Raw genomic sequence first — 12,165 nt, 5'->3', positions numbered from 1 at the left:
ATATGCTTTCTTGCCATCTGCATATCTTCTTTGGTGAAGTGTCTTAGTCTTTTGCCCATTTTTAAATTGACTTGTTTGTTTTCTTGTTGTCGAGTTGTAAGAGGTCTTTGTTTATTTTTGGACACATTTTATCATACATGTCTTTTGCAAATATCTTCTCCTGGTCTGTAGCTTGTCTTCTCATTCTCTTGATAAAAGTAATTTTAAGGAGTATAAATATTAACATTCATGTCTAACTCATTTGGATCCAAAAAAATTTAAGGTGGTCTAAATGTTTAACATTAAATAATACTGAATAATAATCAATGTTCACTTATGTGTATGATACTTCGTATTACTTCTTTTAAGCTGGAAGTCTTGCTATATTACTCTTATAATTTAGCATAACATTACTACTGATTTTTTCAATTATGTATAGATATAGCTCAAAAAATAACTTTAGTATTAAGGAGTAATATATTTGCCTCAAACACTATATTAAATATTTAAATTTTGTTAAAGAAAATACCACTTTCACAACTGCAACTAAATTGTCTAAATAGAATGCTAGCCCCATTGGGTGAAAGATATACATTGACATCATGCTATAAATATTGTTTTGAAAACACTCAATGTGTTGTTCAAATTTAATTAATATAATATCATATTTCATTATATGCCATTATATGAGGAAGAATGCTTAAATGAAACAAGCAATAAATACTCACTTGGTATAAAGTTTATTTGCATGTGTAAAAAGTGTATATAACAGGAAACCTCTTAAAATAAAAACATAGTAAAGTTTTAGGAAAAATATGAATTTAGAAAATGGGTTGCTTTTTCAGATCACAAAAATACTGATATATGTGTACTAAATTACCTTAAACTGTTGAGGTGTTAGAGAAACATTTTTCAAAAAACAAAAAAAGTTGGAGGTTGGAGGAGACACAAAATATAGAAGAATGAAGGTACTGATATATGTCACACATGTTTTAAAATGACCACACAGGCAGAATCTACAAAAGAATCAAATTCTTTAAAAATACAGAAATGCTAGAGATTCCCCTAATAGTGTTAATGGCATACATAACATTCCAAATCAAATAACTAATAAAAATTTAATTCACATTCAATTAAAACAAAAACAATATGAGTAATGTGAAATTGAGTTTTTGTTAAGCACTGACAAATATTTAGCATTAAAAAGTCTCTTGTACGTCTAGGAAGAGTACACACACATAAATTATCTGAGAAGTAGAAAAATATGGATTAGAATTTTAGAGGCAAACTTGAAACCTAAGACATGGAGGACACTGTTGCTCTGCAGGTTTTAATTGTTCTGAGAGTTTTCTCTATGTATTTGTTCAGAGGGCATTAAAAGATGCAAAACTTGGGGCCAGGCACAGTGGCTCACGCCTGTAATCCCAGCCCTTTGGGAGGCTGAGGCGGGCGGATCACCTGAGGTCAGGAGTTTGAGACCAGCCTGGCCAACATGGCAAAACCCCATCTCCACTAAAAATACAAAAATTTGCAAGGCGTGCTGGCAGGTGCCTGTAATGCAGCTACTCAGGAGGCTGAGGCAGGAGAAATCCTTGAACCTGGGAGGCGGAGGTTGCAGTGAGCCATGATCACTCCACTGCACTCCAGCCTGGGTGACAAAGTGAGACTCCTTCTGGAAAAAAAAAAAAAAAAGATGCAAAACTTTGACACAGCAGTCCAGTGTGGTGGCTCATGCCTGTAATCCCAGCACTTTGGGAGGCCGAGGTGGGTGGATTCCTTGAGCTCAGGAGTTAGAGACCAGCATGGGCAACATGGTGAAACCCTGTCTCTACAAAAAACACAAAAATTAGCCAGGTGTACCGAGGTGCACCTGTGGTCCCAGCTACTTAGGAGGCTGAGGTGGGAGGATTGCTTGAGCCCCGAAGTTCAGGCTACAGTGAGTTGTGATTGCACCACTGCACTCCAGCCTGGGTAGCAGAGCAAGACCTTGTCTCAAAAAATTAAAAATAAAAATACTTTGACATAGTCAAAGTTTGTGCTCTCTTTAATTTTTTTCATTATCAAAAGAGAATATTCTATATGGAATTGTCTGTCCTACCAAAGGTATGACCTTGTAAATGTGTATTTGTCTTTTCAATCCAATTCTCCTTTTATATCCATATTTTACTCATTTCTTAATTGTAATAAAGTGGAAAACTGATCTAATTATATATAAAACCTTGTGTCAAAATAGATTTAATGATTAACACTAATCAATTGCCAGGAGACAAAACACAAACAAAACAGATAAACCAAACAAAACTAAATCTACCACCAAACTTACAACAGGAATAGAAAATGGTGAAAGCAACAGAAATATATGTGACTGATACAATGTTGAGATACTTTCCCTTCAATCATTATAAGCATTTGTCAATAACAGTTCTATCATATTTTCCTTTTTATATTTAAAGTATCATGATCTCCACATTGGATGCTCTATAAATATCACAATCTTAATGATGAATTCTAGACTCATTCAAGTTAGAGCAACTGCTTTACACAAAATGATAGCAGTAGACAAATCTAGGCAGCTGCTTGGGTGGGGTGGGGTTCTCACAGGTTCTGAAGCTAGCTTGCAGTTAGAATTTTGGGAGTCAATAGAAGTAAATGAATTCATGAAATATTTCAAATTATGATTCAGTGCAAGATACATACATATCTTATAATTCTATTCATCATAAATATTTTCATATGTATATGAGAATACATCTAAATATATGTAACATGTACATATATAAATGTATGTATATATGAGAAATGCTTGTAAATTTCTGTCCCAAACTTAGAATTATGTACAAGATCCCTGAATTTCATAATTCGAGGCAGTGTAATTTTATAGGCATGACATGGGACTAGAAAAGTGTGCTCACTCATTCTAAACCCAGTTGTCACCAACCTGCTAGATTCTGGGCAAGTTGTTCTTCCATGCCTTAGTGTGATTATGGCAAAGTAGAATTTGCCTGTAGCCCTTTAAAGAGGATTAAAATAAGTGCAAAGTGCAAAGTCACATGAGCAAAAGTGCTTATGTAAAGCCAAGACACAAGGAATAGCAAGATTTTTATATGCAACGTGGGTAACTTTTAAAAGCAAGTTAGATTTCCTAATTAAATGTAAATGTTGCTAGATGATTTATTTGCAACAAGCAACAAAGAGACTGAGAATCTAAAAGGATAAAGTCTTTGGCAGTCTGTAATGATTAAGGACTTACTTTTATCTGCCTTAAGATGATGCATCTTAAAAGAGAGACATACACTCACATATGCACTGTAATATGATTTATGCTTTCTAAACTTTTAATTTGGTAGGAACTATCAAACATGTGGGTTTGCAGTCTCACTCCTGTAAAAATTATAAAACAAAATAAACAATGATCATTTTATAAGTGATCCTAAATGATAAGAAAATGTAATAGCCTGGCAAAAACATAAAGCACAGAAATTTCTATTCTATTTTTCAGGAGTATGTTATTTCTTGAGCTCCTGGAAGAGGAAACAAACTCACATATACCTACATACCCACCCAGATAAATTTGTGTGCATATACTCCAGAAATTTATAGCTTATATGCTGCTACATTCTTAAGGAAAAACTGGTTATACATATGATTTAGAAGAAGAGACAAAGAATGGGTTTATATGATTATGGTGTTTTCCTTTTGTGTTCAGACATATTAAGAGATGCAAAAGGTTTCTGGTAACATTAATCAATATTATTTTAAGAGCAGAAAAGCAAATTACTTTTTCCACATTCTCAAACTATTACTTATGAAGTTTAACAAATTTCAAAATAATCATATGTAGTTATACAGAGAGATAATTTTGCAACGAAGATGGGAGTATTTACTAATCAGTAACAGGGGCAACTTCATTAAGTTCTAGTGTCTCCTAGATTTTAGGTCTGTTTATTTGATAGCATAACAACCCTTGCAAATCCTTTTCATTGCAAACTTGTATCTTCTGAAGAACTAACTTCATAGCAAATAGTATTTTTTAGAAGAAGAAAACTACTGACCCCACTACCTATAATAAAACATGACTGACAGCAAGAGTTAAGAACTAAACTCTGCAAAATATGATGACTGCTGTGCAATAATTTAACATATAAAACCAAGTGATTATATTAAGGTCACAGATTTATACTGAAATGTCAAATTCTGTGAAGTATTTCTAACCCCCCGCCAAAAAAATCCTAAGAAAGAGTAGGTCCAATATCTTTTTGGATAATCTTTTTTTTTTTTTTTTTTTTTGAGATGGAGTCTCACTCTGTCGCCCAGGTTGGAGTGCAATGGCACAATCTCGCCTCACTACAACCTCCACCTCCCGAGTTCAAGCGATTCTCCCACCTCAGCCTCCCCAGTAGCTGGGATTAGAGGCACCCGCCATCATGTCTGGCTAATTTCTTTTGTATTTTTGTAGAGACGGGGTTTTGCCATGTTGGCCAGGCTGGTCTCAAACTCCTGACCTCAGGTGATCCGCCCACCTATCCCTCCCAAAGTGCTGGGATTACAGGCGTGAGCCACTGCGCCCAGCCTGACTTTGGATAATCTTAATGGTTAGACATCCTTGCTTTTTTAATATTCAACACAAGAAATCTATAACCTTTATCTGTACAAAGGATCCAAAGAGTTCACTAATTCTACCTATGCTCTTTATAAGAAAGATTTTTTTTGAACCATTAAAACAAACATTACAAAAAAGTGCTTTCTTCTTAACTGCAAGGATATAGAGTCAAAAAGTCTCTTATCAAGCTGATAATGATCAAGTTCAGGTCCAAGATGCAGACAGAACTTCTGTGGTACAGTACATGGACTTATTCTTCCTTTATTCCTTGCAGTTTGTCATAAAAAGTTGGATAGTCATGTCTTTTGTGGTCTTCTTCTTCTTCTTCTTCTCCTTCTCCTCCTCCTCCTCCTTCATCTCCTTCTCCTTCTTCTCTTTTCTTCTTCTTTTCTTTCTTTCTTTTTTTATTTTATTTTTGAGATGGAGTCTTGCTCTGTCGCCCAGGCTGGAATGCAGTGGCGTGATCTCAGCTTACTGCAACCTCTGCCTCCCAGGTTCGAGCAATTCTCCTGCTTCAGCCTCCCAAGTAGGTGGGACTACAGGCATGCCCCATGACGCCTAGGTAATTTTTGAATTTTTAGTAGAGACCGGGTTTCACCATGTTGGCCAGGCTGGTCTCGAACTCCTGGCCTCCCAAAGTGCTGGGATTACAGGCATGAGCCACCATGCCCGGCCTATCAAATAACACAAATTTCTTATACCAAAATGACAAGGTAGTCAGTGAGATGGGAGAGACATAGATTTTTTAAATACCCTAAATCCTTTTGTGTGCCCAGGATATGGTGGTGGTGGTGAAACACTGTGTTTTCTGGTCAGCGCCACTGCCTGTTCATAAGAAGGTAATCCTGCATCCTCCACAGAAGGCGGCAATGGAGACAAGGCAGCCTCCTCAGGTCTTCTGAAAATGATGGAGGGAGTGTGCCTCCCCCTTTCATAGACGGCTGAAGAGCTAAGCAGAGAGACAACATTTAGGTCTAGGAAAGGTAGCATTTTTAGGTTGAGAGGACAATATTTAAAAATCCAACCAACTATCTTAATAAACATTAAACACAATGTATTAATATAACAGTTTTATTTTACCCCCAGACTCTGAAAGTCTTGGTACAGTGGAAAGACCAAGAGCTTTGAGTCAGACATGGGTTTGAAATCTGATCCTGGGCCGGGCGTGGTGGCTCACGCCTGTAATCCCAGCACTTTGGGAGGCTGAGGCGGGCGGATCATGAGGTCAGGAGATCAAGACCATCCTGGCTAACATGGTGAAACCCTGTCTCTACTAAAAATACAAAAAAAAAAAAAAAAAAAAAATTAGCCGGGCATGGTGGCGGGTGCCTGTAGTCTCAGCTACTCGGGAGGCTAAGGCAGGAGAATGGCGTGAACCCAGGAGCAGAGGTTGCAGTGAGCTGAGATCACGCCACTGCACCCCAGCCTCGGGGGACAGAGAGAGACTCCATCTAAAAAAAAAAAAAAAAAAAGAGAAATCTGATCCTGTCATTTCCTAACTATGTGACCAAAGGCAAGTTACCGACCTCAATTTTCTCCTCTCTATAATGGGTCTAGTATCAGCTGTCTCCACAGAGTTGGTTTGTGTGGATTGAGCAAGATGCATGGAAAGCTTCTAGCAGTGTCTGGTGCACTAGAAAAAGGACTCAAAACAAGTGAATTCCCTTTTCTCTTACTCCTGGATTAAAACTTTTTGAAAGTATGATGTGAAACCAAAACCAAATTCAGGCTTTGTTGAAAGGTGGCGCAATTCCAGACCAAGGAAATAGATGTCACAGAGGTAATCACAATAGGCTGATGCCTGTCTCTCTCCTCCATTCCCTCCTGCAGTCCTGCTGCCTGGCCAATCCTTCCTAAGCAGTACTTTCTTCACGTCATTCTTCTCCTCAGAAGCCAAACCCGCAGCATACTTCCAGCTGAGTCAAGTTCTAAGTCCCGTGCCTTCTCTTCAAAGCCTCTCTTACTGCAGCCACACCTTATTTTTTACAGCTCTCTGCTCTACCAAGGCAGCTTCTTTACACTCCCCTGCATGGGCAGTAAGTTCTCAGCCCTTCTCTGTGCTTTCACTAGTATCGTTCCCTTTCTCCAAATATCATCTTTTCTCCCCTCAGCTCTAATCTAAGCCTAACACTTAAAAAAAAATATATGGCTTAGTTCAAGTCTCACCATTTTCACTAAACCTTGTCAGCCAATGAAATGCAACATGGGCCTGGGGTCTTAAACCTATGGTTTTCCTTTCTCACTTGTGAAGTACAAATTATGATTTAGACATTAATAAATCAATCTATTTAGGCTATTTATAAAGTATCTATACATACATTAACCTCCTATAGTTATGGCTAATGAAATAATTAAAATGCATAGGGGATGGATAAGCCATTCTCCATGATGTGCTTATTTCACATTGCATGCCTGTATCAAAACATCTCATGTACCCCATAAATATATATACCTACTATGTACCCACAAAAAAAGGAAGAAGGAAAAAAATGCATAGATAACCCCTAACTTCTAGTCAATATTTACAATATTCTTCCCATCAAGAAATAGTTTAGCAGGCCCAAAATACTGCCAACTTTTCCAAATTAAATCAGTCAATATGTCTCTTAGAGCACCATTTTTCCTTTTGAGGTAATAATGAGATCTGAATTGGAAGGGAAGGAGAGAGAAAAATTGCGAGAAAGAAGAAAAGCAAAAGGTCTGTGTAAATCTAGGAACTGGATAATTGGCCCTTCAATAGTTGAGAGGTGACTGAGAGGATCACAAGTTTACTTAGAGAGCTCAACACAATTCCTCCTCTGTCAGAAATCTGGAATGTATTCATGGTAGGCAGTCACTTGCCACATTCATTAGCTCATGATGAAAAGTTCTATTTGTTTGCTTACAAGATAAAGGAGGAGACAGATATTTTATTTGAATAAATAAATTTTTACATGTTGACTTTCAAAATTTAATGTATGGAAACAATGTAATAATTACATCAGTCATTAAATATCTACACAGTGCTTTCTTACACATCACAATCTTACATGACTGAAATCAGAAAGTATGCACTAATAACATCTCAAACTGGCAACATCCTATGATGCCTGTTTTCCTCCACAAAATATAGGAACTAAGAAATGAAAAGGTCTTTTCATTTCTTGGCTTATTATTATTATTATTATTTTTGCGACTGAATTTCACTCCTGTTGCCGAGATTGGAGTGCAATGGCACAATCTCAGCTCACTGCAACCTCCACCTCCCAGGTTCAAGTGATTCTCTTGCCTCAGCCTCCTGAATAGATGAGATTACAGGTGCCCGCCACCACACCCGGCTAATTTTTGTATTTTTTTTAGTAGAGACTGGTTTTCACCATGTTGGCCAGGGTGGTTTTGAACTCCTGACCTCAGGTGATCCACCTGTTTCGGCCTCCCAAAGTGCTGGGATTACAGGCGTGAGCCACCGCTGCCAGCCTCTTGGCTTGTTTTTACAGATGAATGAGGCAAACTTTTCTGACGATGATCTTATTTTTTATTCTTTTCTTTCTCAGCTTCTTTGTCCCTCCCCCTACTTTCAGATTTGCAAAATATAGAAACAAATAACTCTGCTGGAAGAATTTCTTGGGACAATAGATGAAAAGTACTTTAGTAAGTATTTACCAGTTAATGCTAACATAAGAGAATGTCTAGTAAACCAAGTTTGGAATATCCTCTGAAACTCAGAGAGTTGCTGAGGGGAACAAAGTGAGACAATGGATATAAAGATGATCTGTGAACAAGAAGCATTACACTGTGCTAATGTTAAGTATAACTAATCGTACTTTTAAAATAAAAGGTATCCAGGGTTTTAAATTTTATAATAACACACCCGGAAGACATGTCATAATCACAGTGCCACTTTACTTCCTGCACTCGAATTCTGCTCCATCCCTTATGCAGGGAAGAAGCTAGAAATGTTTCAGGGGAAAAAAAAGGTAAAAGGTGAAAAACATAGTGACGCAGAAAAGTTGGAAAATGAAGAAAAGCAGGGGAGAGAAGAAAGTGTAAGCACGAGGACACTAAATAATGACTGTGCTATTCACAGTCATTGAGTGAAACTATTGCATATGAGGACATACGTGAACTTTTTTGAAAAACATTGTGAATGAGGTGAAAAAGAAGAAAAGAAGAATGTCTAAAGACAAATTTTGCCTATTTCTTCATTATCTTGTGGATTACTCCCAGCTTGTGGAGAAAGTCACACTGAATAAAATCTTAGTGAAAAGTCCTAGAAAGACCTTGCTCATTTCCTGTCTGCTAAATAGGGGAAATGAATAGAGGTCTGCTAAACAAATTCTTCCTTACTTTCTCTAACTTCTCAAATTTTTTATAGGCTTTATAGGGACAAACTCCTTAGTTCATGCCCATAATTCACATAATGCATTGGGGAACTTTTCAAGAATTCCAGCATGGGGCTAGAATGACCATTTATGTTCCTCTTCTGTCTTTGCTGGCAGCTCCTCTTCTTTCTGCACCCTTATTGTGGGCATCCTTCAGGGGCTTTGTCCTTTTCCCTTCTGTCCCTTTACTTTATTTTTTTATATTTTTATTTTATTTATTGAGACGGAGTCTCGCTCTGTCTCCCAGGCTGGAGTACAGAAGCGCAATCTGGGCTCACTGCAACCTCTGCCTCCTGGGTTCAAGCGTTTCTCCTGCCTCAGCCTCCTGAGTAGCTGGGATTACAGGCGCGCACCACCACGCCTGGCTAATTTTTTGTATTTTTAGTAGAGACGGGGTTTCACTATGTTGGTCAGGCTGGTCTCGAACTCCTGACCTCGTGATCTGCCCGTCTCGGCCTCCCAAAGTGCTGGGATTACAGGCATGAGCCACCATGCCCGGCCAACTTTATTTTATTTTATTTTTTGAGAAAGGGTCTTGCTCTGCCACCCAGGCTGTAGTGTGGTGGCGTGATCTTGGCTCACTGCAACTTCAATCTCCCCGGCTCAATCAATTCTCGCACCTCAGCCTTCCAAGTAGCTGGGACTACAGGCATGCACCACCATACTAGGCTATTTTTTGTGTTGGTAAAGATGGGGTTTCACCATCTTGCCCAGGCTGATCTTGAACTCCTGGGCTCAAGCCATCCATGTGCCTCGGACTCCCAAAGTACTAGGATTATAGGCGTGAGACACTGTGTCCAGCTCCTTTATTACACTTAGAGAACTTACCTACCCTCATGACTTCACCTTTAATCTTCCAATAGGTGAATCTTAATTTCACACCTGTTGCCTTAAATTCTTTTTTTTTTTTTTAAGACAGAGTCTCACTATGTTGCCCAGGCTGGAGTGCAATGGAGCCATCTCGGCTCACTGCAGCCTCCACCTCCCTAGTTTGAGTGATTCTCCTGCCACAGCCTCCCGAGTAGCTGGGATTACAGGCACCTGCCATCATGCCCAGCTAATTTTTGTATTTTTAGTAGAGGTGGGATTTCACCATGTTGGCTAGGCAGGTCTTGAACTCCTGACCTCAGGTGATCTGCCTGCCTCGGCCTCCCAAAGTTCTGGGATTACAGGCATGAGCCACCACCCCTGGCCAAATTCTTACCCTTTCTTTTTTTGTTTTCCAAGTAAAAAGACTTTGTGGCTGGTATGTACATATATATATATATGTATACATATACACATATTATATACAATATATAACATTACATATAATATATAAAACATTAAATTTTCCATTTTAATCATTCATAAGTATACATTTCAGTGGTATTAATTCCACTCACAAGGTGCAACTATTTCCATTATCTATTTCCATAACCCTTTCATCACCCAAACAGAAACTCTGTACATAAGAAACAATAACTCCCCATTCCCCTTGCTATGATTTGAATGTTTTTGCCCCGCTCAAAACTCATGTTGAAACTTAATCCTCAATGCAACAGTATTAGGAGGTGGGGCCTTTTGGGAGGCTTTTAGGTCATGAGGGTCCTGCCCTCATAAATGAATTAATGCTGCTATAAGAAGGGGTTGCAGGAGTAGTGCCCTCTCTTTCTTCTGCTCTTCTGCCATGTGAGGAATAATGTTCCTCCCCTCTAGAGGATGCAGTGTTCAAGGCACCATCTTGGAAGCAGAGACTGGGTCCTTATGAGACATACAACCTGCTGGTCCCTTGATCTTAGACTTCCCAGCCTCCAGAACTACAAGAGATAAATTTCTGTTCCTTATAAATTACCCAGTCTCAAGTATTCTGCTATAGCAGCACAAATAAACTAAGACATCCCTATCCTCCCAGCCCAAGGTAATCTCTAATCTACTTTTTGTCTCTGTGAATTTGCCTATCCTAGATCTTGCCTATCCTAGGCATTACATATAAGTGGAATCATACAACAGTTGTTCTTTTGTGTCTGGCTTCTTTCACTTGGTATCATGTTTTCAGGGTTCATCCATATTGTAGCACGTATCAGAACTTCATTATTTTTTATGGCTGAATAATATTTCATTGCATGGATATACCACATTTTGATGGACACTTGGGCTATTTCCATCAACCCTTTGGTTATTTGAATAATGCTACTATGGACATTGGTGTACAAGTATCTGTTTGAGTTCCTGTTTTCAATGCTTTTGGATACAAATCTAGAAGTGAAACTGCTGGGTCATACAGTAATTCTACATTTAACTTTCTGAGGAACTGTCAAACTTTTCCACAGTGGCTGTACCGTTTTACATTCCTACTGGCAATGTGAATATGAGGTTCCAATTTCTCCATATCCTCGCCAATACTTGTTATTTTAAAAATTATTATTCCAGCTATTCTAGAATAGCTGGAATTACAGGTGCATGCCACTGCACCTGGCTCTCACTGTGGTTTTGATTTAATTTCCCTTTCCTTAATATCTAACAACATTGAACACCTTTCAAGTGCTTGTTGGCCATTCATATATTTTTAGAGAAATGTCCATTCAAGTCCTTCACTAAAAAAAACGTGGGTTATTAGTCTCTTTGTTGTTTTATCCTTTCTTGAGCTATCTTTAAAATATAAACTATTTTGGCCGGGTGCAGTGGCTCACACCTGTAATTTGCCATTGCACTCCAGCCTGGGCAACAAGAGCGAAACTCTGTCTCAAAAAAAATAAATAAATAAAATATGAACCATTTTGTCCTGTCAAATCCAAATTTTGTTTTCTTGCTCCCAGCTTCCATACATATATTTCTTCAGCACAGAAGCTTAGGTTCAAGTCATATTGTTCCAACATTCCCAAGTTCTTTCTTTATTTTTTTTTTTGAGACAGAGTCTCGTTCTGTTGCCAGGCTGGAGTGCAGTGGCGGGATCTCGGCTCACTGCAACCTCTGCCTCCCAGGTTCAAGCAATTCTCCTGCCTCAGCCTCCCGAGTAGCTGGGACTATATGTGTGTGCCACCATGTCCAGCTAATTTTTGTATTTTTAGTAGACACGGGGTTTCACCGTGTTGGCCAGGATGGTCTCAATCTCTTGACCTCGTGATCCGCCTGCCTCGGCCTCCTAAAGTGCTGGGATTACAGGCATGAGCCACCGCGTGTGGCCCCAAGTTCTTTCTAATCAGGCATCAAGTTCTACGACTTCTTTTTCCTTGAAGACAGGTT

General features: G+C 38.7%; 1 protein-coding gene across 3 annotated transcripts in view; it reads right to left on the bottom strand.

Annotated features, from left to right (window-relative positions):
- Positions 1 to 703: 703 nt before the first annotated feature.
- The window catches only part of PRRG4 (proline rich and Gla domain 4), a 28,332-nt gene continuing 16,870 nt past the window's right edge, over positions 704 to 12,165 (bottom strand). For all 3 annotated transcript variants that reach the window (XM_006718314.4, NM_024081.6, XM_006718313.4), the window contains one exon: positions 704 to 5,528. In XM_006718314.4, coding sequence (XP_006718377.1) covers positions 5,297 to 5,528 — 232 coding nt within the window. In that variant the 3' untranslated portion in view covers positions 704 to 5,296. The remainder of the gene's footprint in view (positions 5,529 to 12,165) is intronic.

The sequence above is a fragment of the Homo sapiens genome, chromosome 11 (genome assembly GCF_000001405.40).
Source record: "Homo sapiens chromosome 11, GRCh38.p14 Primary Assembly".
Lineage (NCBI taxonomy): Eukaryota > Metazoa > Chordata > Mammalia > Primates > Hominidae > Homo > Homo sapiens.
This window is presented reverse-complemented; position numbering and strand designations above follow the sequence as displayed.